A 25275-nucleotide genomic window follows, 5' to 3' on the forward strand; every position below is an offset into this window, starting at 1 on the left:
TGCAGGCTGTACAGGAAGCATGGCTGGAAAACCTTAGGAAACTTACAATCATGGCAGAAGGCAAAGGGAAAGCAAGCACATCTACCATGGCAGAGCAGGACAGAGAGAGAGAAGAGAGCTAAGGGGGAAGTGCTACACACTTTTAAACAAACAGATCTTGTGAGAACTACCTCACTGTCATGAGATCAACAGGGTGAAATTCTGCCCCCGTGATCCAATCACCTCCCACTAGGTTCTTCCCCCAACACTGGAGATTTCAATTCAACATGAGGTTTGAGTGGAGATACAGAAACAAACCATATTATTCCACTCGTGGCCCCTCCCAAATATCATGTCCTTCTTACATTTCAAAACCAATCATGCCTTCCCAACAGTCCCCCAGAGTCTTAACTCATCCCAGCATTAACTCAAAAGTACAAGTCCAAAGTCTCGTCTGAGACAAGCAAGCCAAGTCCCTTCTACCTATGAGCCTGTGAAGTGAAAAACAAGTTACTTCTAAGATAAAATGGGAGCACAGGCTTTGGGTAAATATTCCTGCTCTAAATGGGAGAAATTGGCCAAAACAAAGAGGGGCTACAAGCCCCACACAAGTCTGAAACCCAGCAGAGCAGTCATTAAATCTTAAAGCTCCCAAATAACCTCCTTTGCCTCCATGTCTCTCATCTAGGCCATATTGAAGCAAGGGGTGAGCTCCGAAGGCCTTGGGCAGCTCTGCCCCTGTGGCTCTGCAGTGTCTAGCCCCTGCGGCTGCTTTCTCAAGCTGGCATTGAGTGCCTATGGCTTTTCCAGGTTTGTGGTGCAAGCTGTCATTGGATCTACCATTCTGGGGTCTGGAGGACAGTGGCCTTCTTCCCACAGCTCCACTAGGCTGTGCCCCAGTGAGGACTCAGTGGTGGCTCCAACCCCACATTTCCACTTTGCACTGCCCTAGTAGAGGTTCTCCATGAGGGCTCTGCCCCTGCAGCAAACTTCTGAATAGACATCCAGGAATTTCTATACATCTTCTAAAATCCAGGTGGAAGCTCCCAAACCTCACCTCTTGCTTTCTGTATACCCACAGGTCCAACAACACATGAAGTAATGACTCAAGCTGTACCTTCACCCCTTTTAGCCACGGCTAGAGCTGGAGCAGCTGAGATACAGGGTACCATGTCTGGAGGCTGCATAGACCAGCAGGGCCCTGTGCCTGGCCCATGAAACCTTTTTTCCCTCCTAAGGCTCCAGGCCTGTGATGGGAGGGGCTGCCACAAAGGTCTCTGAAATATCTTGAAGACATTTTCCCCACTGTCTTGGCTATTCATATTTTGTTCCTCTTTACTTATGCAACTTCTGTAGCAGGCTTGAATTTCCCTCCAGAAAATTGATTTTTCTTTTCTACCACTTGGTAAGGCTGCAGATTTTCCAAACTTTTATGCTCCTCTTCCCTTTTAAATACAAATTCTCTTTGCTTATGCAAATGGCCATAGGATTTTAGAAGCAGCCAGATAACCTCTTGAGTGCTTTGCTGCTTAGAAATTTCCTCTGCTAGATAACCCAAATCATCTCTCTCAAGTTCAAAGTTCCATAGATCTCTAGGGCAGTGGCAAAATGCTGCCAGTCTCTTTGCTAAAGCATAGCAAGGATGACCTTTGTTCCAGTTCCCAATAAGTTCCTCATCTCCATCTGAGACCACTTTAAGCTGGATTTCATTGTCCATATTACAATATGTGTTTTGGTCAAAACTACTCAACAAATCTCTAGGAAGTTCTGCACTTTCCCTCACCCTCCTGTCATTTTCTGATCCCTCCAAATTGTTCCAACCTCTGCCCATTATCCAGTTCCAAAGTCACTTCCACATTTTCAAGTATCTTTATAGCAATGCCCAACTCCTCTAGTACTAAGTTTTTATGTTAGTTCATTTTCACACTGCTATAAAGAACTATGTGAGACTGAGTAATTTATAAAGAAAAGAGGTTTAATTGACTCACAGCTCGATAGGCTGTACAGGAAGCATGGCTGGGAGGCCTCAAGAAACTTACAATCAGGGTGGAAGGTGAAGGGGAAGCAAACATGTCTTACCATGTCAGAGCAGGAGACAGAGAGACAGTGGGCAAACAGGGAAGTGCTACACACTTTTAAACAACCAGATCTCCTGAGAACTCACTCACTATAGTGAGAACAGCAAGGGGAAAATCCACCCCCCGATCCAATTACCTTCCACTGGGTCCATCCTCCAACAATGGGGATTACAATTTAACATGAGATTTGGGTGAGGACACATAGCCAAACCATATCATCTTTTAAGGATTTATTTTTAGAAGATCATAGGGTATAAACATTCTTATGACAGAGGGCATGACATAAGAATTTAGAAAACAGAGAATTTAGAAAATAGTCCAGAATTGCTGTCCAGAAAATATTAACTATTGAAAAGGAAATAAGCATTTGAAATAGAAATATAAAGTTAAGCATAAAAGTATTAACATCTAATTATTATAAACTTTCTGTAATTGAAGTTGAACTGTTAGGACAATTTTTAAAGGCAGTATAGTGGTTAAGCATTGCCTTTGAAGCCATCCTTTATGGGTTTAATTCCATTCTGCTATTTGCTTGTTGGGTATTGTATAATTTTCTATGGTTTTCATAAGCGAATACCACAGATTTGGTGGCATAAACAACAGAATTTTATTTTCCTAACTCTGAAGGCTGGAAGTCCATGATCATGGTGCAGGGTTAGGTTCTAATGAGGCCTCTCCTCTTAGTTTGCAGATGGCCATCTTCTTGCTGTGCCCTCACATGGTCTTCTTTTCTGTGCGTGTGCATGCCTGGTGTGTCTTCCTCTTCTTAGAAGGTCATTGGTCCTATTGGATTATAGCCCCACACTTGTGACCTCATTTAACTTATTAACCTCCTTAAAAACTCTGTCTCCAAATATAGTCACATTAGGGGTTAGTGATTCAACACATGAATATTGGGAGGACACAATTCAATCCATAACACGTATACTTGGCCAAGTTACTCGATGTCTGCATATCTGAGTTATCTCATTTGTAAAATCAAGGTAATAATACTTTATTGGCTATGATGGGATTAAATGTGCTTTTATGCATAAAGCATTCAAGAACAGTGCCTAGCACATGGTAAGTGTTCAATAGATAAGTAGTGTCACATTTAAAAATTGAAAGTTTACATGGACATTGTATGCATTAATCATAATACACTATAAAAATAGCTTCCATAACAGGATTTCTAAATTGGATACAATAACAATTCTTATAATTATTAGGAGTAATTAGTATTAACAGAGAAGAAATAGAAACATTAAGCAAGTAATCCAAAATCATATAATGAATTGACAGCATGATTAAGTGCAAATGTTTCAAGAAAAGTTATATCCTTTTAATTCCTTTTAAATTAAAATAACTGTCATAAAGAAGACTAGTCATCTTCTATAGTAAATATTTTTGAATTTTAGTAGGTAGAAACATGGGCTTAAAAATTTTTTAAATCACTTGGAAGATTTCACTTATTTCAGCTTTTTTAAACTGCTCCATCCACATAGAAAATAAACCTCCTAATACAACTAGCTCCAAAATGTTTAGTAGGATGTTTAAGAATAAGAAAAATGGGCCAGACGCAGCGGTTCATGCTTGCTATCCCAGCACTTTAGGAGACCAAGGCAGGTGGATCACCTGAGGTCAGGAGTTCAAGACCAGCCTGACCAACATGGTAAAACCCCGTCCCTACTAAAAATGGAAAATTAGCTGGGTGTGGTGGCATATGCCTGTAATTCCAGCTACTCGGGAGGCTGAGGCAGAAGAATCACTTGAACCCGGGAGACGGAGGTTGCAGTGAGCCGAGATCGTGCCATTGCACTTCAGCCTGGGCAACAAGAGTGAAACACCTTCTAAAAAAAGAAAAGAATAAGAAAAATAAGTGCCAAGATACTAACAGCATCCATATTACCTCCTTATTGAAATAAACTTACTGGAAAATGAAGCAACCCACAAGTAATACCTGAGTTGTATTTTGTGAGGAGTAGTAGGCAAGGTAACATTGAAAATGCAAAGGAAGGTATGATATATAAACAGGTAATTAAGATAATATAGATATTCACATAATATCTTTGAGTATAGCTGAAGGACACCTAACTCAGCATGGCAGAGAGAGATTGGGCAAGAATTCCAGCATCATAGTGGTCATCTTGGAATAAATGGAGAAATGGCATTGAGCTGAAGATGACTACAAGATAGCTGCCAATAGGGGCAGTGGAAAGGGATAGCTTAGGCAGCAGAGGTGTAGAAGACAGGCTTAAATGTGACAAAACTAGAGGCAGAGAGAGTAGTAAAAACAGCTATGATGATCCAGCCAGAATTAGCTAGTGGGGATAAAAGAAAAAGAGCAGAAAAAGTGGAGAAACACTTAAGCATTAAAAGTATTAGAACTATGGATGGGTAGATATGGAACTGTGGGAGAGGAAAAGGATTAGACAGCAATTCAGGAAGAGGAGCCATTTAGAGGGAAGATGACACATTCAGATTTCAAACTATTAGGATCAACGTGATGGTAAGTGGTTGACGGAAGTTTGAATATATAAATCTAGAGCATGGGGATTAAGGCTGGGCTGTATAGCAGTTGAAACAAGAGACTGGACAAGATCACCCATAGAGTATTAAAAATGACAAGCGGGTAGGGAGAAGAAAGGGATAAAGTGAGGTATAAAAATATAGTCAGATAGAAGAAATAATCCCTCGTATTAAGTAAATCAGTAATTATAGTAAACAGTAACCTATTGTACATTTCAAAAGAGGTAGTGATGAATAATTACAATGTTTCCAGCATAAAGAAAATATGAATGTTTAAGGTGATGGATATCCAAATAACCCTGATTTGATTATTACACATTATGTGAATGTATCGAAATGTCACATGTACCACAAACACATTTAAATTTATCGTGTATCAATAAAAAATATTTTGACCAATGACTTAGAGACAGAAGCCTGGAAAACATCAATATTAAAGGAAAAAACACATAGAAGAAAACCATGAAGGATCCAGAGGAGAGATGAGAACCAGCAAAAAACTGAGTTACAGAAGATAAATGTGCAGAGATTCTAACATAGGGGAGGCTTTGATAAAAGCCCATTGAATATGCCAAAAAGAAATTAATTTGTGACCTTAGAGATGTCAGTGTCTGTATGGTGAGGGAACTAGGAAGATGAACAGATTGTAGTGAATTCCTCTGAGTAGGAGATGAATGTCTAGAAATACCTTAGAGTATTTCTCAGCTTATACAGGCAAGAAATAGTGTCTCACCTAAGGTAATATCTCTGTAGTGAAACAAACATAGACAGAAGTGTTCAAAGTAAATGATGTGCAGAGACTAGATGGAGAAGTCTGGCCCAGATCGGAGACTACAGTTCAAGCTGGGATTATCAGCCTAATGAAATGCTTTACTTAGGAGAAAACAGAATTTCAAATGGAGAACTAACCAATGACAAAAGAAAATGCATCATTATTTCAAACAGAAAACGAAGGACCCACAAGCAGAATTAGCAGTAATGTTGACTTTTGATGTCATGTCCTGCAAGTTACTCATAAAGGATTCCTTAAATACCCTAGACTAAGGGCAGGACAAGTTTCAGAGAATGAACTGGGCTTGAATGTGTCAGTAAAGATCAAGTTGCTCCAACAAAAGGAAAGGAGGGTGGGCACAGGGAGCTCAGGAAGCATAGGAATAGATTGACAGGGGAAAACATGATTATACAAGTTTAATCTGCATAGATATGCAAGATGGACTTCACAGCTAAACTACTAGGACACATGAAAGAGTCAGGGAAGTAAATTATCCAATGGAATAAGAAATGGACAAAGGAAGAAAGAATAGCATGTCACAAGTCAAATACATGAGAGTTTCCATGCCTGGCACATAAGAATGTGGTAAAGTTTTTTTGAATGAAGAAATGAATGAGTAAACAAATTAATGAAAAAAATAATAAATGCAAAGACTGGTCACAGTTTTATTGTTTCACTTTATCTAAATTAAGACAGAAACACAGTATCCATCCTTCATCTAAAATTTCCATTTTTAAATTATGCATGGATTATCCCCCTCACCCCCAAATTTCTCTAGACAAGAGTTGACTTTATAAAAGAAAATTAAAAGTTACTTAAGTTTTATTTATTTGGAAAATTGAAAAGAATTAGTGGAAGCCATTGATGAAAATCACTTACAAACATAAAGAATTAGTTTTCCTTTACTATTGTCCTACTTTTCAGTTTCCTCTCAGTAGGAAAGTTATTAATCTGTTGTGTTTTATTGTAGGATCATAATTGTACATTTAATTATACATACAACCTGCACTAAGCATACCCTCACTAAATGGCATACCTTAATAAAGACGATAGAACATGCCTCTATAACCTAGCAAGGTCAATCTGTGAGAAGAATAAATAAAAACGTAATTTAGTAACTGCTAGAATAATCTGAGAAGGTAGAAATGAAGATCATGTCTGGAGGACAAAATGATTTTTAAAAAATAGAAAATGATGAGGTCACAAGGTAAATGATGAAAAAGGCTGGATTTGGAGTCAGAAGACAGTTCTTGTTCTGTGATTTACCTTGTAGTCTAGGACAAACCATTTAATGTGTCTTGCTTTGTTTTCCTCATCCACTATGCAGAAGCCATAGTGATCTTTTTAAAACATAAATCAAATCACATCGCTTCCCTGCCTAAAATCCTCCAATAGTTTCTTCTTACAATTGGAATAAAATCTAACCCCATCCTCGTGACCTTCAGCATTGTGAACATGAACGGAACCCTGCCTACCTCTTTAAACTCCTTTCTTTTCCTTTTTCCTTTTATTCACTGTTCCTAGATTGTTCTTAAACCCTGTGAAGCTCACATTTGCTGTTTGTCTGCCTGAAATACTGAGTTCTAGGTCCTCTTGTTGTTGAATATTTCTTGTTGTTTAGGTGTCAGCTCAGATGCTACCTGCTCAGAGATGCCTTACTTTACTTTCTATAGAAAAATAGCTACCTTACTCTCATTTACCAATCTCTTTCAAATAACTATAACTTATTTTCGTTTAACTAAGTATAGAAAATAATATATATTATTTATTATTTATGTCTATATATTGTGTGTGTCCTCCTATCAAACATCTCCTTGCCTATCTTGTTCATCACTGAAATCTTTGACTCTGGCTAACAATTTGCTTCACAAGAATTTGTAGATGAAAGGAGAAAAAAGGAAAAAAAAGGAGAGGAGAGAACAGGAAAGGAGAGAAGAGGAGAAGAAAGGAAAGGAATGAAAGGGGAAGGAAAAAAGAGGAAGAAAGGGAGGGAGAAAACAAATAAATAAAATACTTAGGCAATAAAATGAGAAAAAATATGAGAAACTATACTGGGAAAAAACTATCAAGGCATTGTTTTAATATCACTTCATGCTTGAATATATTTAAATACCACAAACTTGTTATGATTTAAAGGAACTCAAAAGACTATTGTTTTCGTTCTCTTGATATTTCAGTGAAGCCTGCAAAATGTATATGTGGGGAAGTGCGAGTAGATGTGTGATTTAATTTTTGTGCTTTATTTGGGTGAAACTGGAGTATGAAGAAACATAAGAGACACCCTCAGAGCACAATCAAGATGTCAGCATTCACAAACCCATGTGCTCCCCCTCTAAATTATACTCCTCCAGATGGCTTGGTTAATTTTGAAGTGGATAAAGCTAACAGTGCCAGATCACACCCAAGCAGTATAAAACTGTATAAGAACACAATAAAACAGTAATAAACAATAGACTATTTTAGTGGCATATGGCAGATACTGAGTCAGGCCAGCCTCAAATGTAATCTTTGGATTCTGTTTAAAAATCAGTGTCTGAATTATAGCATTAGCATTCAAAGCACTCCTGTAAGCAGTAAGCAACTATTCTAAAGAAGAGAAAGGAAGGGTCAGATAAAGGAGAAAAGGAAAACACAATGGTCACTGGAGAAGAAAGATAAACAAGAAATAATAAGCAGTGCTTGCATGACAATCTACAAGGGGAAATATAGAATTCATGAAAGCATTCAACAGGAAGAGATGGCAACAAGTAGACCAATATGAAGGAAATGGGTATGGGAACTCCCAGCAAGAAGGGGAGCAAAGGAGAAAGAGGAAAATACACACAAACAAAATAACAATTCCTCCCTTCTCTGAATATCTGGACATAAAATTTATTGTCTTCCATTAAAATGACAAAAATTGTATGTTGCATCATCAAAGTTGGAAATATATTGTTAAAACCTTAACTCTGCAATCCCTAAGTAAAAATTCCCTCTTCTGAACATGTCTTCACCCCTACACTAAACCCAACCATCTTCTCCTGGGAGAGGGATGTTTCAGAACAATGAGAGATCTGTTCAAATTGCTGAAATTAAAGCTTCCAAGTGAAGAGCCCAAGATATAGCCCCCTTTTATCTACTTATATCCTATTTATAGTACGCATTTCAATGTAAACAAGACTTCCTCCATACCAAGTAGAGATTGTACACCTAGACACTAAATAAAAAAGTATTTTTTCCAGAAAAATACTTTTCAAGTGAGAATTTTGTTAATGGATAGTTTCTTGATAACATGAGTGATCTGAATAAAGTTAGTTATCCACATAATTAACTATATATGGCTGAATAGGAAGTCCCAGCCTTCATTCCCACACAGAAACATGAATTGCTCACAAATGTACACACTAAACATTTTTATATGAATTCCAGACTTCAATTAAGATGTTGCAGTATTCCAAGTGTGCACAAAGTACAGAATAGTCAAATTGAATTGAGTTAAGAAGAGCAATTTCATTTACCTGCATCAGCCTCTCCCCCAAGTTAGCACAGCTCAGTGCCAAGACAGAATGCCTCTTCACATCTTTTTCCTCTGGGAGAAAAGAATAGAGCATGCCTCCAACATTCCAGCTTTTCAGAGAGCTGCCCAAGAAACAGGTCTCTTACTTCCTTGATTGGTGTGCCCACAGAACTAGCATAATTTGAATGTCTGGGGGTCACTGAGGACAATGGAAAGCAGCAGGTGGCTTGATATGGTTGGCACAGCATGGCACAATTGGGGGAGGAAGTGCACAAGTTAAGACTTCTTCCTTGGCAAGGAGGGAGAAGAGTGGAGCATGTGTTGGCATTCTGGCTCTTCAGAGGGCTGCCCAAGGGACTAGTCTCTGTCTTGCCTCACTTGGAGCACTCATGGAACTAGCATAGTTTCGATGCCTTGGAGCCACTGAGAGCAAAAGTTAAAAAAAAAGGCAGTAGGCAGTTTGCTATAGCTACCATACCTCAGTAAAATCAAGAGAAGATGCACAACTCAAGGCTTCTCCTTCAAGAGGGAAGGAGAAAGGAGCGAGAAATGAGTCTGTCATTCTAGCTTCTTGGAACACCAGCTTCTGAGAAACTGATATCTGTCTCACCTTACTCAGTGTACTGATAGGAAGCTTGCATGCCCTGGATATTTGCCAGCCACTGACAACAAAAGAGAGTGGGAAACTTGCAGCTGTAGAACCAGATAACTTGTGGTGGCACAGACAGACATCAGAAAAGATAATGAGTTCCTGAGGGGAAACAAAAAACACAGTAAGCCTCTCTGAGAAATTGCATGCACAGGCCCAGATACCCCAAAAAGTTTCAGAGGATTCCAGAATCTCTTTATGGGCTACTTAGTGGGAGTCTTATCTAAACAAAGCCAGTCTGAAGACTGGGAGAAGTGACAGATCCTAATACAAAGCCACAAGGTGCATGAAAAAACAAGGAAACATGGCTCAATCAAAGGAATAAACTAAATCTCCAGAAACTGGATCTACAAAGAGGTATGTGGACAACTTGAAAGAGAATTCAAAATAATTGTCATAAAGATGCCCACTGAGCTCAAAGAAATAACAAACGAACAGAATAAAGTATTAAGAAAGATACAGAAAATATAAAAAAGAAGTTTTGGAGCTGAAAAAGAAAATAAACTGCAAAACTCACTAGAGAAGTTTAATGGCAGACTTGATATTCAGAAGAAAACATCAGCAAACTTGAATATGAGTCATGTGAAATTATCTGCTAGAGGCTCAAAATGAAAAAAGAATGACAAAGAATAAAGAAAACCTAAGGGACATACAAGGCACCATCAAATGGACCAATATTTGCATTATTGTTGTTTCAGAAGGGGAAGAGAGAGAGAATGGGGCAGAAACATTACTTAATAAAATAATGGCTGAAAACTTCCCAAATGTAAGGATGGAAATGGACATCTAGATTTGAGAAACTCTGCACGCTCCAACTAAGATGAATTCAAAGAAATACACACCAAGCAACATCATAATCAAATTGTCAAAAGTCAAAGAAAAACAATTTTGAAAGCACCAGGAGAAAAGCAACTTGTTATGAACAAGAGACTAACACCAGATTTCTCAGAAGAAACCTTCCAAGACAGAAGAGAAGTGGGATGATATATCAAAACACTGACAGAAAAAAAACCTGCCAGTCACGAATACTGTATCCAGAAAAACTATCCTTTAGTAATTAAGGAAAAATACTCTCCCAGATAAAGAAAAGCTGAGGGAATTCATCATCAGTAGACCGCCTTACAAGAAGTTCTAAAGGGAGTTTATCAAGTTGAAATGAATGGATGCTAAACAGCAGCATGAAAGCATACATAAATACAAAGCTCACTGGTAAAGGTAAATACATAAAAACATAAAGAATACTATTGCTGTGATCTGAATGTTTGTGTGCATTCAAAGTTGATTTGTTGTCATCTTAACCCCCAAGATAATGGTATGAGGAAGTGGGGCCTTTGGGAGACAATTAGGTCATGGGAGCCAAGCCTTCATAAATGGGATTAATGCTTTTACAAAAGAGGCCCCTGTGATCTTGCTTGCCTCTTCTGCTATGTGAGAACACAGAGAGAAGGCATAGTCTATGAATAGGAAGTGGGCCCTCATCAGATACCAAATCTCTTGATACCTTCACCTTAAACTACCCAGCCTCCAGAACCATGACAAATAATTGTTTGTTGTTTATAAGCTACACAGCTTATGGTATTTTATTACAGCAGCCTTAACAAACTAAGACAACTGTAATATTGTAACAATGCTGTATAAATCTTTTAATTATTGTATAAAAGTTAAAAGATAAAAGTATAAGAAATAATTATAAAAATCTAGCAATGGGTATACAATATAAAAAGATGTAATTTGTGACATCAATAGCATAAAGTATGGGGGAAGTTATCAGTGTAAAGTAGATTATTTTAACAATAACATGTTTTATGTAAGTTTTATGGCAACCACAATGAAAGTACCTATATAGCAGATATTCAAAAGAAAATGAGAAAGAAATCAAAACATGCCACTACAAAAAAGTCAGAAAAATACAAAGTAAGACAGTGAGAGCAAAAGTGAGTCAAAAAGCTATGAGACAGCTAAAAAGCAATTTAAGAAGTGGCAATAGTAAGTCCTTTCCTATCAATAATTACTTTAAATGTAAATAAATTTAACTCTCGATTAAAAGACTGATATAGTGGCTGAATGGATTTAAAGAAAACAAGACTCAACTATATGCTGTATACAAGAAACTCACTTTGGACTTTAAGACCCACACAGGCTGAAAGTGAAAGGATAGAAAAAATAATCCACACAAATTGTAGTCAAAAAAGACAGCAAGAGTGGCCAAATTTATATCAGACAGAGTAGATTTTAAGTCAAGAACTGTCCAAAAAGACAAAGAAGGACAAAGACATTATATAATGATATAAGGGTCAATCTGCCAGGAATATGTAACAATTATAAATATACATGTGCCCATAATCAGAGCACCCAAATACAGGAAGCAATCAATGAAAGAATTTAATAGAGAAATAGACAACACACAATAACAGTAGGGAATTTCAATATACCACACTCAATAATTGATAGAACATCCAGACAGAAGATCAATAAGGAAATAAATAAATAAGAGGATTTGAACCAGACTATAGATCAAATGGAACTGACAGACATTTGCAGAACATTCCACCTTGCAGCAGCAGAATACATATTTTTCCCAAGCATGCATGAAACATTCTCCAGAATAGATCACATGTTAAGTCACAAAGAAGTCTTAACAAATTTAAGAAGATTCAAACTGTGCCAATTATATTTTCCAACAACAATGGAATGAAACGAAAAGCAAAGGAAAATGGAAAAGTTCTTAGATATGTGAATATTAAACAACACACTCTTGAATAATCAATGAGTCAAAGAATAAATCAGAAGGTAAACTTTAGAAAAATATTTTGAGACAAATAAAGATGAAAAGAGAACATAACAAAATATATAGGATGCACCATGACCAAGTCAGATTTATCCCTGGGTTACACGGATGGCCAAAATACAAAAATAATCAATATGAGACACCACATTAACAGAATAAAGGATAAAAATTACATTATTATCACAATATATGCAGAAAAAGCATCTGAAACATTTAACACCCTTTCATGATAAAAACACTCAATAAACTAATAGAAGAAAATTACCTCAACATAATACAGGCTACAGTTAATGTCATGCTATACAGTGAAAAACTGAAAGCTTTTCCTCTAAGATCAGGAATCAGTTAAGGATGCCCACTCTGACCACTTTCATTCAACATACTACTGGAAGTCCTAGCCAGAGAAATTAGGCAAGAAATATAATAAAAAGGCATCCAAATCAGAAAGAAAGAAAAACAAATTTTCACTGTTGGCAGATAATATGACGCTGTATGTAGAAAACCTTGACAATTACACACACACAGACACACACACACATACACAAACCATTAGAACTAATAAACCAATTACGCAAAGTTGCAGGATACAAAATCAACACACAAAAATCAGTTGAGTATATGTACATTACCAGTGAACAATTGGAAACAAAAATGAAGAAGACAGTCCATTTACAACTGAATACAAAAGAATAAAATTCTTAGTAATAATCTAAACTGAGAAGTATTATAAAATATCTAGACACTGAAATCTATAAAAGATTGCTAAAACACGCACACACACACACACACACAAATAGGGGGCATGATGCCATAAGCCAACCAGCCCACAATGTCAAGTTTATCATCCAGAACACCAATGCGGCAGTGGCCATTTCGATTCGGAGTGTCTTCTTCTCTGAGGTGCCCATAATAGTCATTGACTGGGTTCAAATTGATGCCAATTCCTCAGTTCTTCATGATGAGTTCATGGCTCACAAACTTAGATTAATTCCCCTCATTAGTGAGGACATTGTGGACAAGCTGCTATCCTCCCGGGACTGCCCATGTGAAGAGTTCTGCTGAGTGCTTGGTGGAGTTCACCCTCGATGTGCAGTGCAATGATGACCAGATTTGACATGTCACATCTTGAGACCTCATCTCCAACAGCCCCCAGGTCATTCCAGTGAAACAAGATGATGACCCTAATGACTACGTGGAGCAGGATGACATTCTCATCATCAAGTTGAGAAAGGGCCAGGAGCTGAGACTTTGAGCCTATACAAAAAAGTGTTTTAGCAAGGAGCATGCCAAGTTGAACCTTACTGCAGGGGTGGCTTTTGAATACAATCCAGACAATGCCATGAGGCATGCAGTGTACCCCAAACCCAAGGAGTGGCCAAAGAGTGAGCACTTGGAGCTGGATGAGGATGAGTCACAGGTGCCCTGTGACCCCATGGGCAAGCCAGAAAGGTTTTACTACAACATGAATTCCTAAGGCTCTCTGTGTCCTTAAGCCATGTGCTCTTAGCCCTCACTGGATTGAAGAAGAAGCTGAGTGATTTAAAAACTCAATTAAGCCACGAGATCCAGAGTGACATGCTAACTATAAACTAGCTGCAGCTTGCTGCTTCAGCAAGAATGGGGATTCAAGCCAGCAGCTGGATTTGGGGGGTCTCTCTTGAGACTCTTCTAGTTTTTGGAAATCTAGTCTACTGTTGCTTGAGCTTCTTGGCAGGTCATCAGTACCAACTAGAAGCGGGTAATAGATTACTAGGGATGCCAGCGGCATTTAAGCAGGACAGTTTTTTACTGGCCCTAACTGCTAATCGCCAGCAGTGCTCCACAGATCCTAAAACATCCCTTTTAGCCTGTTTCCTAATGCGTCTGTAGGGGAGCCAACCGGACTTCTCTCCTGGTTAGTTCAGTTCTTTACTTTAAACGCTTTCTGTCCAAAAGGAATAATTTCAGTTGTACCTTAGATTTCTGGTATTAGGATTGAATGTCACAGCCTTCATTCAAAGGGCCTATAAACCCTTCCAGTTCTTTCCCCAAGTCTGTCCTACTAGCACTTCAAATTCACAGGCATCTTTAATTTGAGAAGTAACCTTCTGGGAAGAGCATCAGGCCATGGCTGTGCCCTCTCCCCTATGTAGATACAATATTTCACTCTCTACCCAGCAGTTACAAACCCCTTCACCACCAATACCTGATTATTTAGTTTGGTGATGGTGGTGGTGGTAGTGGTGGCAGTGGCCAGCAGGAGCAAGGGCCCCTCCCACATACACAGAAGTATTTCATTTCTCCCAAATGAAGGCTCTGGCCCTGACCTCTTAACACTGTCTCCAGGGAGGAACATACACAAAGCAGTTAATTAGCAGCCTGGAAAAAACACAGAAAGAAAGAGATATTTATTGATTAACAGAAGTTGTGTTTTTAAAAGTGTTTATTTTTGGCAATGAAGAGCACAACATAATCTCAAAAAAGTTAAAAAAAGAAAAGAAGACACAAATAAATGGAAAGACTTCCCACGTTCATGGATTAGAAGACATTGTTCAAATGTCCATACCACCCAAAGTCTACACATTTAATGCAATTCCTATTAAAGTCATAGTGACATTTTTTGCAGAAATTGACAAAACAATTCTAAAAATTGTACAGAAGTACAAATGACCCCAAAGTAGCCTAAACAATCTTGACAAAAAGAGCAAAACTGGAGGCCTCAAACTTTTTAACTTTAGAACATATTACAAAGCTATAGTCATCAAAAGACCATGGTACTGGAATAAAGATAGACATATAGGCTAATGGAACAATACTGAGAGTCCAGAAATAAACCCACACATATACAGTCAAATGATCTTTGACAGGATGCCAAGAGTACACAATGGGAAAAGGATAGTATCAAAAAATTGGTGCTGGAAAAACTAGATATTCACATTCAAAAAGAATAAAATTGGATCCTTATTTTATATCATGCACAAAAATCAACTCAAAATAGATTAAAGACTTAAACATAAGACATGAATTTATAAAACTCCAAGAAGGCAACATAGGGTAAAATTTTCATAACATTTGTCTTGGCAATTAATTCTTGGATATGACACCAAAAGCACAAGTAACAAAAGCAAAAATAGACAAATGGATTTACATCAAATGAAAAAGCCAGAAACTAAAAATCTTCTGCATAGTGAAGGAAATAATCAACCGAGTACAAAAGCAACCTACAGAATGAGAGAAAATATTTGTAAACCATATATCTGACAGGGGGTTAATATAAAAATATACAAGAAACTCAATAGCAGAAAATAAAAATAAAAATAACTATCTTCAAAGAAGAGATACAAATGACCGACAGGCATATGAAAAGACATTCTTCACTAATCATTAGAGAAATGCAAATCAAAACCACACTGAGGTATCATCTCACACTCATTATGATGGTCATTATAAAAAATTAAAAATTAAAAAAATAAAGTGTTGGCAAGGATGTGGAAAAATTTGAACCGTGTGCACTACTGGTAAGAATATAAAATGATGTTGCCACTATAAAAAAAACAGCATAGAGATTGATAGAAAAATTAAAAATAAAAACTACCATTTGATCCAGCAATCCCACTTCTGGGCATTTATCCAAAAGAGCTGAAATCAGGACATGGAAGATATTTGCCCTTCCGTGTTCATTGCAGCATTATTCACAATAGATAAGAATTAGAAACAACTGGTCGGGAGCGGTGGCTCATGCCTGTAATCCCAGCATTTTGGGAGGCCGAGGCGGGCAGATCACGAGGTCAGGAGATTGAGACCATCCTGGCTAACATGGTGAAACACCATCTCTACTAAAAATAAATAAATAAAAAAATTAGCCGAGCGCGGTGGCAGGCAGGTGCCTGTAATCCCAGCTACTCCGGAGGCAGAGGCAGGAGAATGGCGTGAACCCAGGACGGCGAGCTTGCAGTGAGCCGAGATCACGCCACTGAACTCCAGCCTGGGTGACAGAGCGAGATTCCGTCTCAAAAAAAGAAAAGAATTAGAAACAACCTAAAAGTTTATCAGCAATATGTATGGATAAAGAAAATGTACTATATATTTATACAATAGAATATTATTCAGCCATAAAAAGAAGAAAATTCTGTTACATAGATATACCTTGAGGACATTATGCCAAGTGAAATACGCCAGTACAAGAAAGACAAATAGTACTTGATTCCACTATGTGAAGTATCTAAAATAGTCAAACTCATGGAAATATAGAGTAAAATTATGGTTTCTAGATGCTAGGAAGAGGGACAAATGGGAAAATTGCTGTTCCGTGAGCATAAAGTTTTAATCATACAAGAGACAAAATTTTCACAGATCTGCTCTACAACATTATGCTTATAGTTAACAATGCTGTACCATACACCCAAAATTTAAGAGGAAAGATCTTACGTGTTTTTTACCACAATAAAAAAATTTTGTAACATTCACAGAAAAAATTTTTTTTTACTTTATTTGTACATATAATGGAACCTTTTGATCTACAGCTCAAAGGCAAAAAGCAATCATTCCAAATTAAATTATCTTGGTTAATATGGCTGTTTACAATAGGGAATATGGCTCATCACACTCCAACTGAAAAATAAAGACTTTCTAATCTCAATAGCCTGGCCTGTAATAAGAATATAAAATTATAAACGCAAACTTTCAACTCCCAAGTGAAGCATGAATTCCAGAGCCACTGTATATTGAGAGTGGGGAGAAGTGTATGCTTAAGGGTAAGATTCATATTTTATATTTTATCTCCCTGGAGGAACAGCGTCTCTCCTCAAAGAGAGAGCCATCACAGTGTAAAGCATAATACAATGGCAATCAAAGGGGCATCCACAGATAACCATGTTCATTACATTGCCTTTAATTGCTTTAGCCTAAAAGACAGCAGCCCAAAAGTATAGATCCATGGCAGATCATTGTACTTAAACAGTCAAATATGTATCCTTCATATTTTAAAATATAGCCACTGGCCCACCAAATAGGAGTTCTACTGTCCACTTCTCTCACACTGCCTTCTACACAGTATAAAACCTTTCATCTTGACATAATTAGAAGAATCTTCCAAACAAGTAAAACTATGACTTGCTCACATGCCTACTTTTCCCACATGACCGTGGCAAAATCAGATATTGTCAGACAACTTGAGGACCTCAATTCACCATAGAATTTTCATAAAATGGTTAAGAGGTAGGATCCTATGGTTCATGGAGGAAATTTGGGAAGAATTCATGCTTAGGCTAATAAAAAATACAGTTCATTCATTCATCTCCATGAAGACAGGAAAACTATGCCATTCTGATCTTCACTGTATCAATCAATGGTCTGTAATTGTTCAGTAAAAATTCTTCAAATGAAGGAATGTCCAAAGTTGTCTGGATTCAGTCTGTAAAAGAGTAATTAAGCTTTTGCTTTTGCTTAATATACATGCCTTGACAGTATATTAAAGTGCTTAATTAAGCAGCTTTTTTATGGTCACAGAAGTCTTTGTGATATTTAACATTATGAAATCTACATATTCAGAGCCACCTCTAGTCTATAAAATTAAAGTATTTACATATAATTTAATCACATATTTTCTTCACAAAAGGCATTATTTAAGATATGGCAACTAAATCAGAGAATTCTGGACAATTGCTTTTGTTCATAATTTTATCCAAATGATGAAGTTCATAATTACACAATGTTACAGTTATGAATATATTAAGGTAGACCTTAAAAGCTCACAGCAAAAGAGTAACACAGTGTCTGAGATTGTGCAATGTACCAAAGAGGATATTGACTTTACTCTGGATAATACGCAGACAAATTTACATTTATGTCTTAAACTTAACCCCTAACCTTATAAATGATTGAATGCACCCAGTGGCTTATTTTCTGTAAATCAGTAAGTAACCTCAAATGAATGCATCAATTTTCATAATGCATGCATTGTTAGTATCATCTAATATTTTTATTTCAAGTAAATAACCATATTATTCATGCTAGTAGCTGGTACAAACCTTTACCATTCTTCTTAAATTACTTAGCTGGACTCACCCACTCATTTTAACAGATGGCCAAGCCTCCTACCTCACAGAGAAAATAGCAGCCATCAGTCACAAACCGCACCTCTTGTATTATCTGCATGTTCCCCAGCTTTCTCTCCTTCCCTTCTGTCCCAAAGGATGTCTTGCCTGTCTTCCAAAGATAACACTTTAATCTGTACTCCTGATTTCATCTTCTTCCTTTCTTCCTCTCTATGTTTACTGAGTGCCTTCTGATGCCAGAATATTCTAAGCCTGGGGACACAGTGTGAAACAAGACACAAAGCCCCTCTCCTTGTGGACTTTGCATTCTATTATGTGTCCTCCAACGCCTTTTCAATATTCACCACCGTTTTTTGAATCTTCACTGTATCCTCTGTCGTGGCTGTTCTCTTTTAGCTTACAAACCTGTCTAACTTGTCCTCATCCTTAAAATGAATCTGCTTATTTTGCTGAATTTGAAGGCATGTATTTCCTTCCCTTACTGCTGTACTTCTAGAATCAGCTGCAGTTTCTGTTTCTACTTTCACTTCCCTTTTTCACTCCTCAGTGCACAGCTATCTATTTTTCTTTTGTTCTCTGTACTCCAGTGAAACATTTATCCTCAGCCTTTGACACACTCTTCCTTCCCTTGAGTCCTCATGAATCCTAGGACAGAATATAGTTTATTCTTCTGGCTACACTTTTTGCTACTGCTTCATTCTCTGCTTGCAACCTTACTGTTTGACTCCCCAAGATTTCTTCTTTGGCCTTCTTTTCTCATTCTGCCCATTCTTCTTGAATCATCCTACCCACACCCATGGTTTCAACTACTACCTATGTGCTAACAACTCCAAAATTCTGTTTTCAGAGCCTTCTGAATTCCTTATCTATATTTTCAAGTACTCCAAAAGCATTCTCATTTAAATAGCCATATCATGTGCTAAAGATGTGGTACGTATTGCCACAGAGAAACACAGAGAAAATATTACCAGCTGTGATTATAGAAAAGCTCCAAAATCTCAGTGGCTTAATAAAATATGAGTGTTTTGTTGTTGGTGGTGGTGGTGTTGGTTTCATTTTTGCTCACGTAAGGTCCAGTTGGAGGTGGTGGTGGCGGCAGTGTGGTGTAGAGGGTAAAGGTGGTTCTGAGACCCAAGTTCATGAAGAATCTCCCCTCTATTATGTCGCTTGCCAGGTCATTCAAGAAAGTTTTATCCAGCCAGTGGATGGGAAGAGAGTTTGGAAGGGGTGGAAGATTTTATGTGACAGTTTTGGAATTGTTATATTTTCACTCACATTCCATTGAACAGAATTCAGTGACATGGTCCCACCTAGATCCAAAGGGGTTGGAAATGATAGTCCATGTCTGGGCAGCCACTTCATAGCATCCTCTATATTATGCAAGAGGAGCAAATCTTTAGTAGTTGGTTAAAAGTGTTTGCTACAGAAATCCATAGGTGACCTTTCTAGACAGAATTTTGTTTCTGATCAGTTGAATAAGGATCGCGAAGAGTGAAAGTGGAGACGAACAGGGTGATTCTTTTCTGGAAGCACAATGTTAGTGTTTAGGTGCTCATTTAATGTTCTTAGAACCAAAATTTGGCTGTTAGGGAAACGACAAAGCTCAGGAAGCAACTGATTTCTCTACCTTCCATTTTTATTTCCCTTAATCCAAACTTCATATAATTTGAATGTCAGAGTGTCATATGTTGCTGGATATAGTTTGGATGTTCGTCCCCTCCAAATCTCATGTTAAAATGTAATCCCCATTGTTTGAGGTGGGGCCTCATGGGAGGTGTTTGGGTCATGGAGGCAGGTGCCTCATGAATGGCTTGGTGCCATCCCCATGGTAACAAGTGAGTTCTCGCTCTGGTAGTTCATGCAACTGCTGGTTGTTTAAAAGAGTGTGGCACCTCCCTCCACTCACACCATGTGAGAGGCCCACTCCCTCTTTGCCTTCCACCATGACTGTAAACTCCCTGAAGCCCTCAGCAGAAGTAGAGACTGGCACCATTCTTCTTGTACAGCCCATAGAAACATGAGTCAATTAAATCTCTTTTCTTAGTAAATTACCCAGTCTCAGGTATCTTTATAAGAACACAAAAACAACACTAACACGTTGCCCTCCTTCATTCCTTATTATTTTTTCTTTAAATATATAGTTATTTTTCTAATAATAAAAGTATAGATTAATCTTTCCGAAACTCAATTAATTATTTCATTCCCTGAGTTAAGACATTCAATAATATCTCCAATGATTCCAAGAGGAAGTGCGAACACATATGATGTCATGAAAGGCGGTACAATGGCACTCCAGCCAACCTTACCTGCCTTTCACCGAGCTTTATTGTCTGCTATCATTCTGTACCACTTTAGCACCCATAAGGTCTATTTTCCACTGCCAGAAAGCAGATGGCAACAAAGAAAATGCTGGCAGTACTATTCCCCATGTGGTTTTTGTTTAGAGTCACTATTGAGAAGCATCACACAAGACATGGAAAGCAAATGCCTCCAAATCCAAATTCCAAAGATTGGGAGGGCATTATTCCCCAGATATTGTGAGCAGACACATGGGTGGTCATGAGATTTGAAGCACATTCTGAATGAACACTTGAAAATCACCTCAATAAGTATTCTGCACTGAGATAGTCTTTATCTCCCCGAAAGCCTTCCAATGAGAATAAACTTCTAATTCCCTGCATTAAACATTTCAAACTTGCAATACGTAGAGTAGCTGAGATTTCCTTGAACAAACCTTGACATATAATGTCCATCATTATGCCATAACGCTCTCAAGTAGGGACACACACACACACACACACACACACACACACACATAAAAACCAAAATTCTTACCATTACCAAAATCCAATTCATTGTTTTGATACATGCTTTTCTGTATGGCATGTCCTTTTCCTGACATTTCTGTCTGACAAAAGTCCTGTTCATCCTTCAAATTCAAATACCACCGTCTAACTGAGTCCTTCCATAATTCCCCCAATTATAGACACATGCTCCTTGGGGAGCCCATAACATCTTATTCATACCACTTACATGGTATTTATAACGTCATTTATATGCCCTCACCTTGTAGAGAGAAATTATGTTTCATTACACTCTGTGGCCTTAGTTCTTAGTACAAACATTGTCGTATAGTAAGCATTCAATAATGTGTTGGATAAATGGTCCATTTTGAAACAAAATGTCATTAATGTAGGTGAACATTTTCTTCACAGCATACTCTGAAAATTGGGAGAGTAAACCTACATGCTGGGAGTATACTTAAGGCTCACTGAAGCATTTCAGGCACCACCCCCTCTCTCCAGTAGGACACAAGCATGAGAGACAGATAAATGAGCAATGGGAAGACACACACCATCTTCCACCTCTCCCTCACCTTTCTCCTCTCAATCTCTTATCACTTATAAAATTAGTTATTTCATTTATTGGCCTACTGGGAGTAGGTTTTATACCAATCCCTGACTCCAGTATCCACCATTACACGCTTTTTCCTCCTGAAGACTTACTGTAGAGAAAAGGTTTTCTCCATGTTGTCACATTAATGGTTCTATGTGTCTGACCTTCCTGTAGGAGGTGCCCTAGTTGCCCAGACAAGTGGTGCCACCTGCCTGGGTGCAGGGGAACATGCTCCTGACGCATTGCAAGGCAGGAGCAGCACCGCCAGGAGCTAAGCCCCAACTGCAACATTCGTTTTCCTTCATTAACATAGGGTCAAAATGGCTCCACTTTTTAAAATGGCTCCTTTTTAATTAAATTGATGCCAGCTTCTGTGTTTCACCCTATCCCAGGAATTTTCAGTCCGTGACTTAAGGCAAGGACAGAGAAAAAATAAATAATAATTTGAGTAGCCCTTTAGCTTGGATTTTAATCTCCAGAAGCTTTGTTCAGGTCAACTACCATTCAACAAACTCACAGCCACATATTCCATTGATTCATGCTGCAAATATGGCATTGATTGGGCAGTGAAATTACTGGGGTTTTTCTGGGGGCTAGAGTAGACTGATAAAATAAGCGTGCTCTTTACCATCTTGGAGCTTACAGTTTTTGGAGGAAGTAAAAGGAGAAAATAAATAAAAAGAAACTTTCAATATAATATAAGGTAAGAGGTAAGTTCTATAAAGTAAAAATAGAGCAGAGCAACAGGATAGAGAGGGTGGGAAGGGGCAGATGGATCACACTATTTTAGATGGTGTGGGTAAACGTCTCCAGTGTAATGAGGAGCCTTCTGTGCTAGACCTGAGTAAAGGAAATAAGCCATAGAAATGGAAAGATCTACGGGAAGAGCATTCCAAACAAAAAAGAATAGAAAGATCCTGAGGCCTGGAGTGTCTAAAGACACTCCACAAGAAGGGCTGATGTGGCTTCAACTGAGTAGGGGGAGACAAGCTGGAGAGGCGGGCAGGGGCTAGTTCTGTGAGAGTCTTGCAACAGGAGTCAAAATTTCCACGTAGGTCTAAATTATTGTCACACTTGTGACAAGACTTTAATTAGGGCCATGCTCAATGTGCCTTATTCCTCTTGAGGAGTGAAAATAAATTAGGCAGTCTAGAATAAGTAAAACCAAGAAAGTTATTTCTGGTGTCAATTGTCCTGTTATTTGTCATGCTACCTATTTTCTAAAAGAAATTACCTTATTAAAGCATCTCATTTATTTACACCCAAAGGGCTTTGCATAAACTGAAATTAAATCGGTGTGAGGGCTTTTACAAACTTGGGGGAAATTACTTCTCAGCCTGAAAGTAGTAAGGGAGATTTTGCCAATGACCTTATGAAATCTTTTTAACTTCCTAGGAATGCAATCATGTTTTCAGAGCTTTCTGAATAAACCTTAGAGAGATCTATTGTTTTAGATATGAGAACACTGCTATTTCTGCAAAAATCATCCAGGTCATTAGTGGCTGATTCATTCACATTTCTGCAGTAGCTCAGTATGTAGAGCAGGCTTTGAACCAGATACAACCAGACTTACAATCGATTCTCAATCTTTCTACCACTCTGAACCTCAGTTTTACAAATTAATTGATAATAGAATCAAATGTAGATACCTGGTCTAGTGCCTGGCACATCACATAAACTTTAAACTAGTGGTTCTTTGTCCTTAGCCAGTTGTATTTCATGAAACTTGTAGGCAAGAACATTGTTGTACTTACTTCCGTGCAAAATATTCTCCAATGCCATAGTATATTTTGCCCCCCTCATTCACTTTTGCCTTTCAATTACCATGTTTCTTACAGGCTAAGTCAGTTTAAGAGCCCTCCTTCCTCCCCAAATATGAAAGCCTTCAAACTGGAATGGGCCTCTGAGGTAACTAGGAACTGTGTCATATCATAGATACGACAAACAAATAGATTGCAAACCTATCCAACAGGACTTTAAACATATATTCTGAGCCTATCTATTTCATCTCACAGACCCATATTTTGATTTGGAAGACATTTCAACACATGTAAATTCACTCCCATTGATGAGTCAGACACTTAACCTCAGAATATGGTATATGAATGCTGTCTGCTTCCAGGATCTATAGCAGCAATGTGTTGCTTGAAGAAAGAAAATATATAGTTGAGCCTATCACACATTTGTTTCTGGTTTCTTTCTGTTACGGAGTTTTCAACTTCTAAGCTCCTGAGGAGACATCCTTGACAAAATACACACACACACACACACACACACAAGCACATGCATGCACTCACACGTGCACACACACACACACACTCACTCATACTTGCTGTGTGTATGTAAGGGAGCATTTTGCGGATTATTCCAGAATCTGCAAATCATTAGGCTCAGAGGCAAACCCAGGGTTTACTGATTGGCAGTTTTGTTCACTTGCTTCCAATGCATTGTCACCTCTATATAAAAATGATCTATCCCGCCAGGCACAGTGGCTTATACCATAATCCCAGTACTTTGGGAAATCAAGGAGGGTGGGTCACCTGAGGTCAGGAGTTCGAGACCAGCCTGACCAACATGGTGAAACCCCGTCTCCACCAAAAATACAACAATTAGCTAGGCGTGGTGGTGGATGCCTGTAATACCAGCTACTTGGGAGGCTGAGGGAGGAGAATTGCTTGAATCCGGGAGGTGGAGGTTGCAGTGAGCCAAGATTGTGCCATTGCACTCCAGCCTGGGCAACAGAGCGACACTTCATCTCAAAAAACCAAAACAAACAAAATGATCTATCCTACACAGGATATGGCCCTATCTGCCTATTCTGTAATGAACTGTCCCAGACAATGAAGCCTGAGACAAGCCCATAGCTAGGTTTTATACTAACATATGGCATGACTCCTAAGTCTATTCTTGCCACAAATTGGTTATATATCATTGTCAGTTTATTAAAACTCATCTCAAAACACATGTATAAAATTTAAGTAGTAAAATTACACATAGATCCTAGACTTCCTTAACAATCTCAATGTGTGAAACACATTTGCCTTCATCCATGGCGTTTGATGCTTTTTTCTTCTGAACACGCATGGTCAGGACATTGGGGCAGACTTATCTGAGAGTCAGATTTCCTGAACATTAAAGGACACTGAAGAATCTCAGATGTGTTGAGGTTTATATTTTTCTACTTTTCCCGACTGGGTTCTGAGAAGCTAGCCGCTGAGTTGGAGCCATATTGAGGAAAACAGATCAGAGAAGAGAATTGGAAAGCCACTATAACACTGGGAAAAGGCAAAGTAACCCTTTTCAATATTGTCACCTTTTCCCTTGTCTTTGATCAGAGTTCTTTCCTTCTATCCCTGAGTTTTCCATTTGGTTTCTATGCCCCCCATCCACCAAAACCCACACCTAGTGCATCTTATATATAGTCTTGTCATATTGTTTGTCTTTTCAACTTCAACAAATTGGACAGAGGATGGTTTTTAAATGTTTCCATTTACAGATTCCAGTTTTCACCTTTACTATTTTGAAATATGCCAAGCACTTCATCCGTGTCATCTTCATTAGAATTAGTGATCAT

At 38.2% G+C, this 25275-nt stretch overlaps 1 pseudogene, besides 10 other annotated features; it reads left to right on the forward strand.

The window, feature by feature from the left end:
• On the forward strand, window positions 13069–14726 carry POLR2CP1 (RNA polymerase II subunit C pseudogene 1; annotated as a pseudogene).
• Window positions 18591–18710: an enhancer, noted in NCBI's record as "active region_18279". NCBI's record gives its function as "activates an Ori minimal core promoter by ATAC-STARR-seq in GM12878 lymphoblastoid cells {active_cell/tissue: GM12878}" and the evidence as "EXISTENCE:reporter gene assay evidence [ECO:0000049][PMID:35858748]".
• Window positions 18871–19000: an enhancer, noted in NCBI's record as "active region_18280". NCBI's record gives its function as "activates an Ori minimal core promoter by ATAC-STARR-seq in GM12878 lymphoblastoid cells {active_cell/tissue: GM12878}" and the evidence as "EXISTENCE:reporter gene assay evidence [ECO:0000049][PMID:35858748]".
• Window positions 19051–19110: an enhancer, noted in NCBI's record as "active region_18281". NCBI's record gives its function as "activates an Ori minimal core promoter by ATAC-STARR-seq in GM12878 lymphoblastoid cells {active_cell/tissue: GM12878}" and the evidence as "EXISTENCE:reporter gene assay evidence [ECO:0000049][PMID:35858748]".
• Window positions 19241–19300: an enhancer, noted in NCBI's record as "active region_18282". NCBI's record gives its function as "activates an Ori minimal core promoter by ATAC-STARR-seq in GM12878 lymphoblastoid cells {active_cell/tissue: GM12878}" and the evidence as "EXISTENCE:reporter gene assay evidence [ECO:0000049][PMID:35858748]".
• Window positions 22162–24109: a meiotic recombination region, noted in NCBI's record as "this region was identified as a recombination hotspot within the HapMap YRI population". NCBI's record gives the evidence for it as "EXISTENCE:nucleotide sequencing assay evidence [ECO:0000219][PMID:20981099]".
• Window positions 22162–24914: a biological region, named in NCBI's record as "meiotic recombination hotspot B".
• Window positions 22253–24913: a meiotic recombination region, noted in NCBI's record as "this region was identified as a recombination hotspot within the HapMap CEU population". NCBI's record gives the evidence for it as "EXISTENCE:nucleotide sequencing assay evidence [ECO:0000219][PMID:20981099]".
• Window positions 22559–24357: a meiotic recombination region, noted in NCBI's record as "meiotic double-strand break mapped by DNA meiotic recombinase 1 chromatin immunoprecipitation followed by single-stranded DNA enrichment and sequencing in the germ cells of some male individuals with the PRDM9 A/A, PRDM9 A/B and PRDM9 A/C genotypes". NCBI's record gives the evidence for it as "EXISTENCE:chromatin immunoprecipitation-seq evidence [ECO:0000229][PMID:25395542]".
• Window positions 22819–24118: a meiotic recombination region, noted in NCBI's record as "crossovers mapped in sperm cells of males of European ancestry". NCBI's record gives the evidence for it as "EXISTENCE:DNA detection assay evidence [ECO:0005519][PMID:18650392]".
• Window positions 24353–24368: a nucleotide motif, noted in NCBI's record as "nucleotide motif; similarity, but not exact identity to the predicted 16-mer PRDM9 C-type binding motif, CCNCNNTNNNCNTNNC".

Source organism: Homo sapiens, chromosome 21, assembly GCF_000001405.40.
Source record: "Homo sapiens chromosome 21, GRCh38.p14 Primary Assembly".
Taxonomy (NCBI): domain Eukaryota; kingdom Metazoa; phylum Chordata; class Mammalia; order Primates; family Hominidae; genus Homo; species Homo sapiens.